Here is a 20,577-nt window from a genome sequence, read left to right as displayed (position 1 = left end):
GAAGTGTTTACGTCATGAGAGTACCTCCTTCGTGAATGGATTAATGCTGCAATAAAAAGGGCTTACAGGGGTGGGTTCACTCTCCCTTGTCCTTCTACCTTCTGCCATGTAAGGACACAGTAAGAAGGCCCTGACCAGATGCCAGTGCTTTGATCTTCGATTTTCCAGCCTCCAGAACTGTGAGAAATAAATTTCTGTTCTTTACGAACTACCCAGTTTCAGGTATTCTGTTCAATAGCAGTGTAAAACAGACTAAGACAAAGTTCTAAATTGCTTTAGTCATGTCCAAAGGTATTAATATGTAATATCTTAATCATAATACATTTTTATGTTGCCTTCTGTTTACTCTAAATTATCCACATGTCCTGATTGTTAAGTTTCCACGTGATCGGGTATTACAATTATTATTATTTTTTTTTTGAGATGGAATCTTGCTCTGTCGCCCAGGTTGGAGTGTAGTGATGTAATCTTGGCTCACTGCAACCTCCGCTTCCTAGGTTCAAGTGATTCTCCTGCCTCAGCCTCCTGAGTAGCTGGGACTATAGACGCCCACCACCACACCCAGCTAATTTTTTGTATTTTTAGTGGAAACGGGGCTTCACCATGTTGGCCAGATGGTCTCGGATCTCTTGACCTCGTGATCCACCCCCCTTGGCTTCCCAAAGTGCTGGGATTACAGGTATAAGCCACCACGCCCAGCCCATTTAATGACTTTTTAAATTGAGATATTGTACTTTTCAGTTCAGACATTCCATTTTTATAGTTTTCATTTCTCTGCTGAGCATTCACCAATGTTTGCATTCTTGAAAATATAATAATGTCTCTAAAGTTCTTTCTTGCCAAATCTAACATTTGGGTTATGCTGACATCTATTTTTATTGACTAATCTTGATTTTGGGACACTTGTTTGCTTATTTAGTAATTTTTTATATTATGGTGGACATTGTGATTATTCTTTGTAGGGAGGCTAAATTACATTGTCTTCCTTTAAATGGTGTTGAGTTTTGTTCTGTCAGGTTGTAATATTATTGGGGGGATCTTTTACGTTTTGACAGGCTTGGTTTTATTCTTTGTGAGGGAGGCCTATTTTGGTTTTGAACTAAATTCTAGAGGGCTTTTCCTCCTAAGGTGTGCCCTTTTTGGATTTTCAACTAAATGCATGAAGTGTTCTCTTGCTTTGTTTGGACAGTGTTAATGAGCCTGCTTGGGCTGCCATAACAATACCATAGACTAGGTAGCTTATGCAACAGAAATTTATTTTCTCACAGTTCTGGGGCCTGCAAGTCCAAGATCAAAGTGCCAGCAGAGGTGCTGTCTGGTTAGAGCTCACCCCTTGGGTTATATACAGCCCCCTTATTGCTGTGCCCTCATATGGCTTTTCCTTGCTGTGTGTACACAAAGAGAGTGCTAGCTCTCTGGTGTATCTTCTTAAAAGGACACTAATCCTATTGGATCAGGGTCCCATCCTTTTGTCCTCATTTAACAACAATTACTTCCTTAGAGGCCTCATCTGCAAATACAGCCACACTGGGGATTACGGCTTCAACATAAGAATTTTGGGAGGAACACAAACATTCCATGCATAATAGGGAGGATGACTCCCAGTGCTGCTTGACCTTTCAGCCCCATAGCAGGTAATCTCTGCTAGACCCCATAGAGACTCATCTCAAGTGTGTTTGTGTAGCCCAGCCTTTGGCCAAGGGCCTCTGGTTAATCACTGTGCTTAGAAACCTGGTCGCCATCTCTCGCTCTTCTTGGGCTAGTCCTTCTCTACTTGGGCTAGTCCTCTTCTACTTGGGCTAGTCCTCCTTGTGCTGGATGGGAAAGTATTCCAAGGCAGAAAGCTGAGGCCATCGTGAGGCTCACTACATATTTCCCTTCCCTCAAAGATCTGGGACCTGCTCTGCCTGCTATTCATTCCCTGAAAACAGTTGCCTCATTGATTTTGGCCTGTTTTATCATTGTTTTTGGTAGGATCGCAAGTCTGGTACCAGATATTCTATCATGTTTGGAAGCAGAAGACTAGTCATGAATTTTTATTTGCAAACATAATAGGAGGAGCTTTAAAGTTTTCTTGCAGCATTCTTATTTTATGTAGTTAAGTTGTTTATTACTGATAGAGCCTATTTTATTAAAAGTTTTATGGGTAGAGCTAGATTCTTTTTAAAGCTGTACTTTGAACATAATGACTGTAAGGGGGGGAGCCTTTTTGTTCCTTGTAGGTAGATATTGATGGAATTATTCTTTATCATATTGTTAGAATCTTTCTAAGCTATTTCACATTGTATTTGAGGCTCTTTTTATACAGTAATCAAAGCCTGGTGATGAAATGTTATGACTTACACCCACCAAATGCCGGCGATTTAGCATTTAGGCCCCAGGAGGGCTCTTTTAATTTTCTACCTCTCTATGCGTTTGACACAGAATAATGTGATATAGGGCCCCAACATTGGGCAAAGTGACATGCTATAAAAGAATGGTTTCTTAATTATAATATTTAAAATTTTCCAGGGGTTTAAAATACTCCTAAGTGCATAATTTAAATGTTATTTAGCTCCCTTGAAAAACAAAGTCCTTTTTGGCAGGCCATTATGAAGTCTTCAGATTTTATATTTTTAAAAAGAGTAATTGTGAGTCTTATATTTGTAGAGACTAAACTATGCTTGATAGAGTATTCAAATCAGGAATTTCCCATTTTCTATGGAAATTAAATAAACAATAGTCTAATTAGATATTTTAAAAATTGTTGGGCGGCTTTAGAAGGCATGAGATAGGCTTCATATTTAATGTATTACATGACCAGAATTGGAAAAATATCATGAAAAGTTGAGTTCTAGCTGGACTAGGTAGGTTATTAGATGGTCTAAAATCAGATTCACGTGATTATGTGTGTGTCTTTGTACTCATACATATCCATACTCATAAAATTTGATAATTGATGATACTGGCTCCTCAAATCAGTGAAGAAAGGATAGATTCTTAAATAATAGAACTGACAAAAAATTCGTAAAAATATTTTTCTGTTCCTGCCTCACACCACGTGTGAGGTTCCAGATACACTAAATGAAGTTCTAAATACATTAAAGATTTACATGTGAAAGGGGAATAATATACAGAAAAGAATGTGGGTAGATATTTAATCTTCAGGTAATTCAAACAGTATGCTAAATGACACTATAAAAAGAAAAATGGTAGATTCTGTTATAGCAAAAACTGCATCATAAACAAACAGGAAAGATTAGCATGAAGCTGTAATATATATGATTTGCTTTTCAGACTTAGTATATAAAGTTAGTTACCTATCTAAGAAGCTTTTGAAGCATTGCCTTCCCCACTTACCCTGTCTCCTTGTTGAGACTCCCAAACGGAGAGTTACTTCTCTTCAGTAAACAAGAGGAGAACTAGAACTTCATAAGCTCACTAGTGCTGTTACGTTTTGTTGCCATGTGGTGTTGCTATTGAAGTTTGATCCTATGTAGCCCGTTGAATATTTGTATGCTCAGCAGTGAAGCTTTGGTTGGTCCAGAACTTTGCACACATCAGCCAAACTATGTCCACAGATGGGCATCAGAGTTAAAGCCCTTTTAGTTCGTGTACTCAAAAGCTCTGCTGTTGTTTCCCACCTTACACATTGTACCAGGCTAATGGGATGTGGAGGAGCAACCAACATCATTCATTCACTCATGAAACAAATATTTATGGAGCACCTACTTCGTGCCCTAAATACTGTTTATGTACTAAGAATAATAATAGTGAACAAAACAAACAAAAATTCGTGCCATGATGGTTACATTCATTCTGGGGGTGGAATGTGGTGAAAGGTTGTGGCAAAGACAGATGCTAAACAAAAAAATGCTATGAAACATCTTTAGAAAGGACTATGCACAAAATCCTGCCTTCCTAATTATTTTATATTTAGTCTATGTGAGTCACCAATATGAAAGATACCAATAAGTATAACAAAGAAGACAGATTGAGTACCTAATGGATTTAGAACCAGTTTGCTGATAACTTTTCTCTAGCTTGTTTTGGGACTTTGTGGCCACTCTGTATGTAATGGTACATTATGCAGGTACTAAAAATACTGGTATAGACGTATATTTCTGAATGTGGGCAGATGTTTATTATGAGTAGAAATGCATGTTAAGAACTGATACATTTAGTATGATCACAATGTTAGTGGGGAATATTTTTTCTCTACCCCTGTGGTTTCCTTTGTGAGAAGGGAGTTCCATTAGTGTCACCCTGAGCCTGCCCTTTGTTTTGTTTTGTTTTGTAGAGACAGGGGCTCACTCTGTTGTCCACGTTGGAGTGCAGTGGTGCGATCTTGTCTCACTGCAACCTCGACCTCCCAGGCTCAAGCCATCCTCCTACCTCAGCCTCCCAAGTAGCTGGGACTACAGGCGCGTGCCACCACGCCCAGCTAACTTTTTTGTGTTTTTTGTAGAGACAGGGTTTTACCATGTTGCCCAGGCTGGTCTTGAACTCCTGTCTCAACTGATCTGCCCACCTTGGCCTCTCAAGTGCTGGGATGATAGGTGTGTGCCACCTCACCTAGTTTGCCCTTGCTTTTTTATTCACTTCGTCTCTGGTGTGATGACACCTGATTGGTAAGTTTGAGAGTAACTGGTCTTACATATGCCCTTCTGTGTAGGACTAGCTAGTCTTTCCACCACCACTGAGTGATTTTTCATTTGCTTCTCCATGGAATAAGTTATGCAGAGCCTTACCCCTGCAGGGAGAGGCCTTCCCCTCTCTAGTGCTAAGGCATGCCCACTTCTGGGGTTCACTATTAACAAATTCATTTGGCTAGTGTATCTAAAGCTTCTGTTAATAACAAAAGTGTTATTTTATTCTGTTTTGTTTCTCGTCTTGTTCATAGCTTAACCAAGGAAGGAGTTGTCTGTTTTTGGGTGCTGCCTTTATACACCTTATACTATTTTATTTAATTTTGCATTAACTTTTATTATTTTTGCGTGTGTGTGTGTGTGTGTGTGTGTGTGTGTGTGTATGTAATGTCTGGAAGGATATGCATCATAGTTTTAAAAGGGATTGGAAAAAGGATTCGTAGAATTAGGAGGTTTTTCCTTGTCTGTACTTCTAAATTCATGGAATTTATTAGATATGTAGTTCAGAAATAGTTAAGCCTTTTAAGCCTCTAAAACAGTATAGTCTGCTCTGACTTTCCAAAGCAATAGTCTTTTTGGCACAAGGGAAGAAGGTGAAAACCTGAGTAGGTATGTTTTGCCTGCGTAGCATTTGGTGCCTGGATTTAGAACTTTCAGTAGGCAAAAATGTATTACTTTTCTAAAAACCCTGGTTTGTCATTTCATCACATGTCAAAACAATTGCTTTCCATCCATAAGTAGTAGGCAATTTGCATGGCTTTTTAAAGCGAGTTCCAGTATTTAACTGAGGTTAACTGCATTGGTGTGTTTCTCTTTACTCACGAAGTATAGTTGTTTGCTAAGCCTGTTCATTTTTTGGCTTCTTTTGATTATTCCTTGCTATTAAAAAAAAAAAAGAAATTACTCTGGATTCCTACCATCTTTCCTGATGATCACTGTGATATTACCTGTCATTCATATATATATATGTATGTTTTGCTAGATTATTCTATATTTGAAATTACAAGGTATATATAATAAAGAGGAAAAGACATAAAATGTGATACAGTGTTTCTAAAGTGGTACTTTTTATATCTCCACCTCTCCATACTAGCAGAAAAAATTGTATTCTTTGATATTGAAATTTTTGTAAAAGTTAATAAAGTAAAAATGCTCTGTAACTCAATCATTATATTCTGATCATGCTTTTTAACAGTTTACCTTTAATTAATTTATTTTATTTCTCACAATGCAGGTTAATTACTTGTCAGTTTTTACTTTGATCATGTAATATTTCAGACCACAAAAAAAGATATTGAAAATATTTTCTACATACATACTGTACAACTTAATAAACCTTTATAAATACAATGAAGCCCCTGTCTTCTTTTGAGCCCCCCTCAAGTTTGATGTTTATCATTCTCCTGCATTCTAATATTTTTACTACCTGTGTATATATCCCTAAAGAATATGGTGTATTTTTTGGATGTTGTGAAACTTCAGGTGAAACATTCACATATTGCTGGTGGGAATGTACCATAGTATAGTTCCTTTGGGAAACTGCCCATTCCTAAAAAAATTAAACTTAGAGTTACCATATGACACAGGATTTCTACTCCTAGATATACACCAAAGGACAATGAAGGCGTAATGTCCACACAGAGACTTGTATATGAATGTTCATCGCATCAGTGCATTATTTATATTAGCCAGAAAGTTTTTTTTTTGTTGTTTTTTTTTGAGACAGAGTCTCACTCTGTCACCCAGGCTAGAGTGCAGTGGCGCAATCTTGGCTCACTGCAAGCTCTGCCTCCCGGGTTCACGCCATTCTCCTGCCTCAGCCTTCCGAGTAGCTGGGACTACAGGCGCCTGCCACCACACCCGGGTAATTTTTTGTATTTTTAGTAGTGATGGGGTTTCACCGTGTTAGCCAGGATAGTCTTGATCTCCTGACCTCGTGATCTGCCCACCTCGGCCTCCCAAAGTGCTGGATTACAGGTGTGAGCCACCGCTCCTGGCCCAAAAACATTTTTAAAAATCCAAATGTTGACTGGGCATGATGGCTCAAACTAGTAATCTCAGCACTTTGGGAGGCCGAGGTGGGCAGATCATTTGAGCCCAGCAGTTTGAGACGAACCTGGGCAACATGGCAAAACCCCGTCTCCACAAAAAATACGAAACTTAGTTGGGCGTGATGGTGCACACCTGTAGTCCTAGCTACTCGGGAAGCTGAGGTGGGAGGATCACGTGAGCCCCGGGAGATAAAGGCTGCAGTGAGTTGTGATCACACCACTGCACACCAGCCTGGGCAACAGAGTGAGACCCTGTCTCAGTAAGCCAACCAACCAACCAACCAACCAACCCAGATGTTCATGAACTGGTGAATGAATAAATGTGGTATATCTATACAATGGAATATTATTTAGCCATAAGAAGAAATGAAGTACTGGTACATGCTACAACGTGGATGACCCTTGCAAACATTATGCCAAATAACAGAAGCCAGTCAGAAAAGAACATATATTGTGTGGTTCTATTTATATGAAAAATCCGGAATAGGTAAATCTTTGGAGACAGAAAGTAGACAAGTGGTTGCGTAGGGCTGGGAATATGTGGGGAGAATGAACAGTGACTGCCAATGGGTATGGATTTCTTTTGGAAGTGATTAAATGTTCTCAAATTAGATACTGGTGTTAGTTGTACAACTCTATGAATATAGTCAAAACATTGAATTGTACATTTTAAATGTGTAAATTGTATTGATACATGAATTATAGCGATAAAGCTGTCTTAAAAAACTCATGTAGCTGGGTGCGGTGGCTTATGTCTGTAATCAGTCCTAGCACTTTGGGAGGCTGAGGTGGGCGGATCACAAGGTCAGGAGTTTGAGACCAGCCTGACCAATATGGTGAAACCCCATCTCTACTAAAAATACAAGAATTAGCCGAGTGTGGTGGCAGGCGCCTGTAGTCTCAGCTACTCAGGCGGCTGAGGCAGGAGAATTGCTTGAACCTGGGAGGTGGAGGTTGCAGTGAGCTGAGATCGTGCCATTGCACTCCAGCCAGCCTGGGCAACAGAGCAAGACACTGTCGAAAAAAAAAAAAAAAAAAGAACTCATGTAAATATTATAAATTCTTCTGCTGTTAGCTTTTTTGACTCAGCGTTATAAGCCCAAGCAAATCATATTTTGAGATTCATAAATTTTTGTTCATTTAATTTTGTATTCCTCATTTCATATTTCGTTGTATGAATTTATTAATCAATTTTCCTTTTTGCTATTGAAAACAGTGCTTCAGGCTGGGTGCAGTGGCCTGTAATCCCAACATTTGGGAGCCAAGGAGGATTCCATGAGCCCAGGAGTTCAAGACCAGCCTGGGCAACATAGTGAGACCCCTTATCTATTAAAAAAATTTACAAAACCAATGCTTTATTGGACAGTGTAGTGCATATTTACTTGTATGATATACTTTCTAATTTTTTTAAGAGGTAGAGTCTCACCCTGTCATCCAGGCTGGAGTGCGGTAGCATGATAATAGCTCACTGCAGCCTTGAGGTCATAGGCTCAAGCAATCCTCCCATTTCAGCCTCCCAAGTAGCTAAGATTACAGGCATTTGCCACCATGCCTGGCTAATTTTTAAAATTTATTTTTCGTAGAAACAGGGTCTATCTATATTGCCCAGGCTGGTCTCGAACTCCTGGCCTCAAACGATCTTCCTGCCTTGGCCTCCCATGCCTGGGATTACAGGCATGAGCCACCATGCCCGGCCTGGATTATACATCTTTAAAACTTTCTTCCAAATTAGAATTTGATGGGATTATTGATACTTAGTAATTTGTTTATTTAGAAGGCATTTTATTGCTTTACCTCAAGATATTTAGTTCATTTAATTATACAATTTAAAATTGAAGTTAGTAGAAGTACTTTTGTCTTCTGAAGGTCGTCTGTAGTATCTTCGGCAATAGAAAAGGTAGGATTTCTTAACTGTTGGACCTTTACTGGTATTTTAGTGTTATATGAGATGTGTCCTCATTGTTGTGTATGCCAATATATTTTATAGAAAAAGCCACGAATGAGTACAACACTACAGAAGATTGGAGTCTTATTATGGACATATGTGACAAAGTTGGAAGTACTCCTAATGGGTAAGATGTCCAGTCATGCTCAGTGAATGTCTAGGAACTTGATAACCAGTGTCTCTTTTTGTGATGTAACTTTGAGAGGAAAATGAGACTTTATCACAGTTGACCCTTGAACAACACAGATTTAAACTGCGAGGGTTCACTTATACATAGGTTTTCTTCCACCTCTGCTACCTCTAAGACAGCAAGACCAACCCCTCTTCCTCCAACTCATGATTTCCTTAACAACATTTTTTTTTCTCTAGCTTACCTTATTGTAAGAATACAGTATATTATGTATATACAAAATATATGTCCATCTACTGTTTATGGTATTGGTGAGGCTTCTGGTCAAGAGTAGGCTGTTAGTTGGCTGGGCGCAGTGGCTCACGCCTATAATCCCAGAACTTTGAGAGGCCGAGGCGAGCAGATCACTTGAGGTCAGGAGTTCGAAACCAGCCTGGCCAACATGGTGAAACCCCATCTCTACTAGAAATACAAAACTTAGCTGGACATAATGGTGTGCGCCTGTAATCCCAGCTACTTGAGATGCTGAGACAGGAAAATCGCTTGAACCCAGGAGGCAGAGCTTGCAGTGAGCCGAGATGGCACCACTGCACTCCAGCCTGGACGGTAGAGCGAGACTCTGTCTCAAAAAAAAAAAAAAAAAAAGAGTAGACTATTAATAGTGAAGTTTTTGGGGAATCAAAAGTTATACACAGATTTTCGGCTGCGTGGGGTGTTGGTGTCCTTAACTTTCATGTAGTTAAAGGGTCAGTTGTTTTACTTTTGGGACATAAAAGTTAAAAAAGCCTGAATGCTGGATTTATGGGATTAATTTACATGAAAAAGAGTTCAACTGAAAATCTGCTATAGTAACACACATAATTAAAGCCTTGACACAATAGGATACATGATAACAATGTATAGGTGAGTTATTTAAGGAATTCCTCTGGGACTTCTATATGTATGGGAACTTTTAAATAATGAAGTAGATAACACAGTAGATAATATAACAAAAAAGTCTTCAAATAATATACATATAAATATAATAGATTAACAATGAAAAAAGTGAATATAAAAAAGTGCTTTTGGGGAGATGTGGCAATTAGCTGAACTATATGTTAGAAATTTAGAAGAGTGATGAAAGCATTTGTTTTAACATTAAAGCTTTTCATAGTACATTCACATGTTTATACTTGAACCTCTTAAAATTGTATATCATGTTAGATTTTTTTCAAGATAAGCTTTTGCTGTTTGAAAGCTAAACCTGTCTTGAAGAAATAGAAAGATCTGGTATACGTCTCTTGTGTTGACAGATCTTTTGTGAAATGGTTTGTCTCTTAATTTTGGAATACACAACATTTGCAACATGCTTTTTTTTTTTAAAGTTCTATGAGCCTATAAACAAAATATTGTGTAAAATCATTTTATAGATTTATTCCTTTAACAATATGAAATTTCCAGGATTTTAGTTTAGTTTATTTTTATTTTATACTTTCTTTATTTTGAGACACGGTCTCTGTCATCCAGGCTGGAGTATAGTGGCATGACACAGCTCACAGCAGCTTCCTGGGCTCAAGCAGTCCTCTTGCCTCAGCCTCCTGAGTAGCTAGGAGTACAGACACATGCCACCATGCCCAGCTAATTTTTAAGTTTTTTATAGAGATGAGATCTTACTTTGTTTTCCAGGCTGGTCTCAAATTCATGGGCTCAAGTGATCCTCCCGCCTTGGCTTCCCGAAGTGTTGGAATTACAGGCATGAGCCATTAAATATAAAATTATTTGGTAATAGAATAATACCTTAATGTTTGAATTAAATTTATCAGTAAATACTTAACTGTCTCTCTCTCTCTTTTTTTTTTTAGAGCGAAAGATTGCCTAAAAGCCATAATGAAAAGGGTAAATCATAAGGTTCCACATGTTGCTCTGCAAGCACTAACTGTGAGTACAAGGCATGTTATTATTTGACGCAAATTTTAAATGTGTTTTTAATTACAGTAAGTTAATATTTCAATATTCATATATTTTTATTTCAATTAATAGCTTCTTGGGGCTTGTGTGGCAAACTGTGGAAAGATATTTCATTTAGAAGTATGTTCCCGTGATTTTGCAACAGAAGTACGTGCTGTGATTAAAAATAAGGTAAATTTTAAAAACAGAAGAACTTTAAGTCATTAAAAAAATGTAGATTGTGTGTCATTATAACTATATGTGGCATTACTAAAGTATTATAAATGAAGTCATTTTTAGATCATTGAAATGAAATAAACTGTTCTGAAATTTGATTTTTTAATGTGTAGCACCAAAAACTATTCTCCCCAAAGTATATATACTGTAAATAATAGCAAATCCTTTTTGAGGGCTAGTAAGTAGTCATTACTTTAAGCATTTTACATATACTGTCTTGTTGAATGCTCTTAACTACCCTTGGAGCATTAGATTCTTGGAAGTTAGATTCCCTTATCATTCTTATTTTATAAATGCAAAAACTGAGACTTAGAAGTAACTTGTCCAAGGTCATGCAGCTGGTAACTGGAATAGCCATGATTTACATCCAGGTTTCTCTGGCTCCATTCTCCGAAACATGGAGGAAATAATCTCTGAATATAAAAGATCTGTTGTCATTATAGTAAGACTTAGGAATTGGTGTTAAAAACAGTCATTTTGTATGAAACAACTATATCACAACATGTAAATAGGCATCTATCAATTACTCAACTAGGCTAGAAATTTCAGGACTTTTGTTGATGTTCATATAATTAAAGAGAATTTTGATGGTAATTCTCCTTGTTAAATAATTTAAGTACTTATTTTAACCGTAGATTTTTGTTTATTTTCCTTTCCTTTTCCTTAAAAGGCACATCCTAAAGTATGTGAAAAACTGAAATCTTTAATGGTGGAGTGGTCAGAAGAATTTCAGAAGGACCCTCAGTTTAGTCTGATATCTGCAACTATTAAATCTATGAAAGAAGAAGGAATTACTTTTCCTCCAGCAGGTTCTCAGGTGAGAGATTTATTCAGACCCATGGTTGACCCTATAATATTTTGAAGGTATGTATGTTATGTAAAGACTAGGCAAGGTATGTCTAGATTATCATTTTCCACCTTTACTTCCCAAATGACTCTCTAGCATAGTGCCTTCCTTACGTTTAGTAGACATTCTAGTTTTTATGTGTATTTCTTCCACATATCAGAACCTTGTGAAGTTAATCAGACATAGTGTATTTAATGTTCCTCTAAGTCTACAGTCATGCAAAAGGCATAGGTATATGACATACCCCTTATATTCAAGAAATTTGTAGCAAATTTGAATGATAGCTTTATACATGTGAAAAATAACTAATTTAGATTGTAAGTGACAAATACAGGATGAGGGGAATAGACTGCATACTGTCTATCTTAATACCAAAGAGAGAAAGAGGTGACTACAGATTGGAATGGTGAAGAAGGTAAAGAGGTAGAATTTTGAGACTTGAATGTATTAATATTTTGTTAGAGAGAAGTGAAGAAGTCATATCAGGAGGTAAGTGAAATGAACAAATTCATGGAATTGAGAGGCTCAAGACTTGTTTGTTCAAGAGTGAATATGCCTAGAGTGAATGCTTCACATACAAGATGGATGGAAATGTAAGACTAGAAATTTATTTGCTGGGAGAAGGGATAGCTTTAGTAGAACTGGGGTGTGGAGGCAGGGATGTTGACTCATGGAGTGGGCTGGTTTTTTTAGGTCTAGGGGAGAAAAATACTATTCCTTGGGTTTTGCTCTCAGTACCTTATTCCTTCCCATTAATATTAAGATATGGGCTAGGGAAAGAGACGATGAGAAGTACTATATTTTCTTTTATTTTAAATCATAGATTAAAGAGAAAAAAAGATTTTTTTTTTTTTTTTTTTGAGATGGAGTTTTGCTCTTGTTGCCCAGGCTGGAGTGCAGTGGCACAACCTCAGCTCACTGCAATCTCTGTCTCCCGGGTTTAAGCAATTCTCCTGCCTCCGCCTTTAGAGTAGCTGGGATTGCAGGTGCCTACCACCATGCCCGGCTAATTTTTTGTATTTTTAGTAGAGACGGGGTTTCACCATGTTGACCAGGCTGGTCTCAAACTTCTGACCTCAGGTGATCCACCTGCCTCGACCTCTCAAAGTGCTGGGATTACAGGCATGAGCCACCACGCTGGCCGAAAAAAGATTCTTTATAGCTGACCAGACCTAAGGGTACAAGGTAACGTTTTGAGATAAGAGTCTTATAAGTAATAAAAAGGAAACATTTTCCTGTTCTGTCCTTTCTGCATATTTTTCTGAAAAATCTATGTAAAGAACCGGTTGATGGATCAGTCCTGGATACCTGTCTTACATGCTGTTTATTAAATTCAAGCATGACCTTCCTTACTTCTCTGCTATGTCTGGCAGACCACTGCCACCCAGCCACAATAACTAGTAAAAGGACTTCACACATATTCCTAGAACTGCACCTCTTGTCTCTGTCCCCATTCCTCTCTCTTCAGTGATGATCATGACTTCTTGCTGGCACTCCTCGTGTAGCTGTACTCCTATAGCAGAGCTCCTCTCACTAAGAGACCTTGGACAATTGAGATCGGGAATACAATCAGAAAAGAGTCTTTTTTAAATTCTATTAATATTTAAGTACTTTCTGTATGCCAAGTTCTGTGTTACATTTATGCAAAATCTAAGCCAGTTTGATCCCTGTGTGAGTTTATAATGTTTTCTTGAAAAATCTGATGTTTTATTTTAGTATTTGAAAACAATTATTTAAAATTATTATAAAGAACTTCACTTTTAGACCAGTGATGGTGGCTCATGCCTGTAATCTTAGCACTTTGGTAGGCTGAGACAGGAGAATCACTTGAGGCTAAGAGTTGCAGATCAGCCCAGGAAACATAGTGAGACCCTGTCTCTACAAAAAATAAAAATTAGCCGGTTGTGGATGCATACACCTCTAGTTCCGGCTTCCCAGGAGGCTGAGGCAAGAGGATCACTTGAGCCCAGGAGTTGGAGGTTACAGTGAGCTATGACTGTGCCATGCACTGCAACCTGGCTGACAGAATGAGACCCTGTCTCAAAAAAGAACTTCACTTTTAAATGAAACTCAGTTATATCAGTATTTTTTAAAATTTACCATCTGCAAGTAATTATGGAGCTTGTGTTTTGTTTGAAAAGATAGTTGTGTTCATTTTACTCATACATTTACAGACTGTCTCAGCTGCTGCCAAGAATGGTACGTCATCGAACAAAAACAAAGAGGATGAAGACATAGCTAAAGGTAAATGATCAAGCACATGTAATTTAGTGTTGCTTAAAATATCTTTGCCAGGGCTGGGCGCGGTGGCTCACGCCTGTAATCCCAGCACTTTGGGAGGCCGAAGTGGGCAGATCATGAGGTCAAGAGATCGAGACCAGCCTGACCAACAAGGTGAAACCCCATCTCTACTAAAAGTACAAAAATTAGCTGGGCGTGGTGGCGGGCGCCTGTAGTCCCAACTACTCGGGAGGCTGAGGCAGGAGAATCGCTTGAACCCAGGAGGCGGAGGTTGCAGTGAGCCAAGATGGCACCACTGTGCTCCAGCCTGGCGATGGAGTGAGACTCCATCTCAAAAAATATATATATGTATTTGCCAGAACATTTTTTTGAAATAAAAATGATAATAAAACTAGCATACTTTTATTTTTACCTCAAATCTAAAAACTAGTAGCATCCAAAAAGTAAGGAAAACAAATGACATGCTATCAAATGAATTTAATTCATTATCTTTTTTCAGTAATATGTATTTGATGTGCTACCTTTGGAGAGATTACATTTCACCTTTTTTTAATGCCAAAGTTATGAGTCAAGCAGAGAAATATGTTCATGGCTTATCCTATATGGAAAGCTACCCATATTATAATGTCACAATCTGTTTGCTATAAAAATAATTGCTGCTGTGTATGACAGACCGTGATAATAAAGAATGAGCAAAAACTTTATTTTAAAAATGTCATGGTTCCCTGCCCTGCCCCACCCTCCCGAAAGTTAACTGTAGCATGTAATTAGACAAATAAAATGCTTGATTTATTCTTATTAAATTTTACATTGTCATCTAATGTTTATTTTATCAAAATTAATTCCAGTTTCTTTGCATTTTAATTTTTGAAACTAGCTATTGAATTATCGCTGCAAGAACAGAAACAGCAACACACAGAAACAAAATCCTTATATCCATCTTCAGAAATTCAGTTAAATAATAAGGTTGCACGGAAAGTGAGAGCTTTATATGATTTTGAAGCTGTTGAGGACAATGAACTCACCTTTAAACATGGTGAAATAATTATTGTTTTGGATGACAGGTAAGTTTTAAATCTTTATGGGAAGGTTTAAAGTGTAATGCCCTTAATTTAGAATCCAGAGTATTCAGTTCTTTGACTTTTAGTGTATTTAAATCATAATAGAACCATTTCATACCTTGTTTTTTCTAAAATAAAAGTTAGGCATGTAATGTGAGCCTCTTCTCGTTATATTTGATAATTTATGTTTGTTATATTTGATAATTTATATCTTGGATGAAAGATGTATTAAATAATATTGTTGATGACCACAATTGGGAAACATGTAAATACTCAGTTACTTGAATATGTTTACGTTGGCAGTTGTGTGTACTGAAATTATTGGCAGAAAAACTTTAGGAAGAAATACAGCAATATACCCTTGATCAGAGCACCAAAAGCTATACTTGGCTCCTCCCCAATTCTTAATCTACTACTGTATTCTCCTCAGAATTTCTCTGCCATTTAAAGCTGTCATAAAAAATAGATCAATCTCTGTAGAGCTTAATACTGTTCTGTACTTTTAAAAGAAATTCATGAAATTTAGCAAGAGTGAGAAGTAAGCTTGTTGCTGTGAACACAGATTGCAGATGTATTTGGTATCCATTATAAATAACTTAGTTATTTATAACACACTAGTCTAATATATTTCTAGTATTTTTTAAATAAAGGGTAGATAAATAATGGTTTTACTTTACTGTGGTAAATATTTCTTGAGAAAATGTTATGTAATCAACTATTTAATAACAAATGAGGACACAGTTCTGTCTTCATAAAACCTAGAATAAAATAAGGGAGTTAAAATTACCATATAGACAATTGTATGGAAGGCAGAATGTGGTGAATACCATAAAAGAGGTGCTGTTGGAGCCCAGATAGCAGATTTACACTTGGTGCAAGCATCTGGCAAAGAAGGCTTATCCTGCGGCTCCATTTCAGGTGTGTATCTTGATTGGTTTTGATAAGATAAAAAATTTTGCAAGAAGTTGAGGATGGGAAAAGGAAGGTCTCTTAGGCAATCAAGATAGTACCATCTTCACTTAGAAAATCTTTTTTCCATAAAGAAAAATTTTTTAAATAATCATTTGGAGTGGAACACCATGATCCCTGAAGGAGAATAGATAGAAATACAGATGTTTCTCAACTTATATTAGCCTACAGTTGGGCAAAATCATCTAACACAAAACCTATTTATTATAATAAAGTATTGAATATCTCATGTAACTTATTGAATACTGTACTGAAAGTAAAAACCAGAATGGTTTATGGGTATCTGAGTGTGTATCACTTTTGCACCATCGTAAGTCATGCCATCATGAGTTTGACACTGTCTGTAAAGATGGAGAGATAGTGTGGGCTCTGAACACTGACAGTCTGAAATGTCAGGCTTATGAGTGTCTTTTAGTTAGAGTACTTACAAAAGAACTTAGGTTTACCGTTTTGATACTCTTATACAACTATGAAGTTAAAGATATTTATAAAATAAAAACAAAATGAGTGGTTTTGTCTAAGATTTTAATTTAGAGCATTACTTTATATAACAAAATTTTCTAAAATAAATTACTGCTCACAAAACAATTTTCAGTTAAGATTTATCACCTCAAAAAAGAACTTTTTTATTTGTAACTGCTAAGAGAATTCAACATGAATGTGATGGAATTTGTAGGTCAATTGCTGTCATTTTGACGATAGGACACCCTACTTTTATAGTTGCTGTAAGCATGCTTATGGGTAAAATATTGTCATTTTAGGTGATTGGTAATCGCTGGTAGACAAATGCAAACTTGCATGCTAAAGTTAAATGACAGTCTTCGGTTAAAAGGAAGTCATCCAGAAAATGACTCTATTCATTGTTTTTATACTTTTGTGGAATTTGAAGCATAAAATTTTCACACACAGAAGTCCCTTGAAGTCCCTTGAAAATATATCATTCTTGGATCTCCATTTAAGAACCATGGAGCTGGCAGGGCGTGGTGGCTAACACCTGTAATCCCAGCACTTTGGGAGGCTGAGGCGGGCGGATCACGAGGTCAGGAGTTCGAGACCACCCTGGTCAATATGGTGAAACCCTGTCTCTACTAAAAATACAAAAATTAGCCGTGCATGGTGGCGCACGCCTGTAGTCCCAGCTACTTGGGAGGCTGAGGCAGGAGAATCGCTGGAACCCGGGAGGCGGAGGTTGCAGTGAGCCGAGATCGTGCCATTGCACTCCAGCCTGGGCGACAGAGCGAGACTCTGTCTCAAAAAAACAAACAAACAAACAAACAAAAAAACATTGAGCTGATAGAAAAGGTGCACATTTCTTATTTATTTATTTGAGACAGAGTCTTGCTTTATCGCCCAGGCTGGAGTGCAGTGGTGCCATCTCAGCTCACTGCAACCCCCGCCCCCTGTGTTCAAGTGATTCTCCTGCCTCAGCCTCCCCAGGAGCTGGGATTACAGGCATGCGCCACCATGCCCAGCTAATTTTTGTATTTTTAGTAGAGAGGGTTTCGCCATGTTGGCCAGGCTGATCTCAAACTCCTGACCTCAGGTAATCTGCCCATCTCGGCCTCCCAAAGTGCTGGGATTACAGGCGTGAGCCACTGTGCCGGCCCAAAGGCGCACATTTTTTATTAATGGAGTATATCAAGAAAAGCGTTTTACTTTCTACACTTTTAGCTTTATCTTACCACTCCATGTTTCTTTTCTTTTCTTTTTTTTTTTTTTTTTGAGACAGGGTCTCACTCTGTCGCCCAGGCTGGAGTGCAATGGCGTGATCTTGGCTCACTGCAACCTCCACCTCCCAGGTTCAAGCAATTCTCCCACCTCAACCTCCTGAGTAGCTGGGAATTCAGGTGTGCACCACCATGCCCGGCTAATTTTTTGTATTTTTAGGGGTAGAGACAGGGTTTAATCATGTTGGCCAGGCTGGTCTCAAACTCCTGGCCTCAAGTGATCCACCCGCCTCAGCCTCCCACAGTGCTGGGATTACAGGCGTGAGCCACTGTGCCTGGCCCACTCCATGTTTGTTTTCTGTGTACCATTTCAAATAATCAAGTGGAATTCTTGCAGTTCCAAAAATGCCATTTTCTGCTTAGTCCTCTGTAGCATTGCACCTTTGGTTCTGTCTGCCTGGAAAGCCCTGCTGAAGGAGGTAAAAGCATTTAGAAAAGGAAAAGAACTTTACTTTCAAGGACAGTTTGCAAGGGAGTCCAGGCTTTAGAAAAGTTGCCTCCCCATGTTAAAAAGTAAAACAGGTATTTTAAGGAAAAGACCCCCACAAGGTTACCAGGTTTTTCCAGGTTTGCTATTTATATGTTCATGGTAGAAATAGCAGTTTTCTCACGTGATAATTATATCCATAAAGGACATCACTACCTTCAGTCATTGTCATTGCAAAAGTTAGCAGGTGAGTACTTTTTGTTAAGAAATCAGTAGTTAAAAGGAAAGGCTCAAGTTTTTATGTACTTTGAGACCTAAAACTAAATATGGTAACATTTTTTGTTTTATCTCAGAGTGCAGAGTTTTTTGTTTGTTCGTGCCTTGTTTTCTTGCTTATCAATAATGGCAGGAGGGCAAAATGTCATTTTTATTTCCACAGACTTAATTTTCTTTTCCTCCTGGCAAGTGCCTACTTAACCTTCAAAACCCGTGTCAGATTTTATATCCTCTGAGAAGCCTTTCAACCTTTCTCTGCTTTTTAGCTCCCAGTGGAGTTAAGAGTTCTCTTCTTTGAGCTATAGCTCTCTGAACATATGTAACAGCATTTCTCATACTGTATTTTAAATAGAGTCATTTCTCAGTTCCTTAGAGAGTTGGTTCCAGAACCCCTGTTGATACCAAAATCCACAGATGCAAGTCTTCGATATAAAATGGCGTCATATTTGCATATAACTTACACACATCTTCCTGTATACTTTAAATTATCTCTAGATAACTTATAGTACCTGATACAATGTAAATGCTATGCAAATCATTATATTGTATTTTTAAATACAATATATTGTATTAAAAATTTTTTTTGTTGTTCTATTGTCATTTTTGTTTATCTTTCATGAATACTTTTGATTTGGGGTTTGTTGAGTCCATGGATGTAGCACTTGCCAGATACAGAGGGCAAACTGCGCTTCTTTACGTATGTCTCTCTACTAAATCAGTTGATTCTGAAGAGGCTCATGACTTCCTTGGGTGGGAGGAAGGAGAAAGGAGAAAAATTCTGAAGGTAAAGCAAGATAACATATTTTTAGTCAGTTCTGTAGGAGAGATTGTAAAACACTGCTAGATTTTTTTTTCTTGTTTTTATAGATAGGGTATGACTGGGTTACCGAGGCTGGAGTGCAGTGGTTATTCACAGGCGTGAGCATAGCACGCTACAGCCTGGACTCCTGGCCTCAAGCAGGCCTCCTCCCTCAGCCTCCTGGGTAGCTGGGACTACAGCTTTGTGCTAGATTTTAAACTTCTTGAGGGCACAAATGGTGTCTTAATTATCTTTGTAATTTCAGTGCTTAGCCTGAAGGTACTATTTTCTCCATGGTAGGTTTTCATAAATGTTAGCTGAATAATGTTTGTTGAAGGTGAGGTTTATGTTCTTTACACTTGTATCATTTTTTGTTTTTCACTCAGTTGTGATTTATTCTTTTTTTAATATAAAAAGCTCTAAATATAAATGCTACATTAAAATTTTCTTTAATTATTAAATGGTTTGTGTAAAATTAGAGTGCCAATTTCTTTAATTTGAGAATTTAAGCTTGAACAATGTTTTTTTGCTATCAACATTCCATAGAATCAACTTGTAGTCAGTGGAGAGAATATAGAGCTGGATTAGGGCTGGGAAGGAGTTGTCAATTTGGTTGCTTTGCCTACTTTTATGCTTCATCAAAGAGTTTGTAGTAGTGGCTGGGAGGAAAATTATCCTATATTGGTAGAACCACTAAGGAAGGGTACACACATACAGTTGTTGGTAGGTTCATATAAAACGCTTGCATCCATTTCACAGGTTTGGGTTTTCTCGTTTTATACAAAAATTTCTCAAGTTCAGCTCTCCTTTTCAAAATGAAAAGTTAACTTAAAAATGTGTTTGTAAGAGAAAGAAAATTTTTCCTATCTTCCATAGATATTTGCAGATATGATATCTTAGAACTGTCAGTACATCAATACATCAGTTATTTTCTGGCTTTAAGAACTTGGATGATATATAACTCTTTCGTCTCTTTCTAGTGCTCATAAATGAAATGATGTTTCATAATCATAGACATTAATTCATCCATAAGACTCATACTTAAGAATGTCTATTCAATAAGTCAGATTTTTGGAAAGGAATAGATAAAATTATCATTATTTCCAGATACTATGATTTTCCATATAGAAAGTTCAAGAGTCCGATGGATAAACTATTACAAGTGGTAGGAGTTCATAAAGGTTGTTGGATACAAGCTCAACATACAAAACTCAGTAGTATGCTTTAATTACAACTTTTTAGAAAATGTAGTAAAAAAAAGTCATTCTCAGTAGTAACAAAAATTATATAAATGATCTAGAAATGAATAAGCC

At 37.5% G+C, this 20,577-nt stretch overlaps 1 protein-coding gene across 1 annotated transcript in view; it reads left to right on the top strand.

The window, feature by feature from the left end:
- The window catches only part of STAM2 (signal transducing adaptor molecule 2), a 58,963-nt gene that overhangs the window by 16,868 nt on the left and 21,518 nt on the right, over positions 1–20,577 (top strand). The window contains exons 2-7 of the mRNA NM_005843.6: positions 8,667–8,751; positions 10,596–10,671; positions 10,774–10,872; positions 11,588–11,734; positions 13,939–14,008; positions 14,883–15,069. Coding sequence (NP_005834.4) covers positions 8,667–8,751; positions 10,596–10,671; positions 10,774–10,872; positions 11,588–11,734; positions 13,939–14,008; positions 14,883–15,069 — 664 coding nt within the window. The remainder of the gene's footprint in view (positions 1–8,666; positions 8,752–10,595; positions 10,672–10,773; positions 10,873–11,587; positions 11,735–13,938; positions 14,009–14,882; positions 15,070–20,577) is intronic.

The sequence above is a fragment of the Homo sapiens genome, chromosome 2 (assembly GCF_000001405.40).
Source record: "Homo sapiens chromosome 2, GRCh38.p14 Primary Assembly".
Classification (NCBI taxonomy): domain Eukaryota; kingdom Metazoa; phylum Chordata; class Mammalia; order Primates; family Hominidae; genus Homo; species Homo sapiens.
This window is presented reverse-complemented; position numbering and strand designations above follow the sequence as displayed.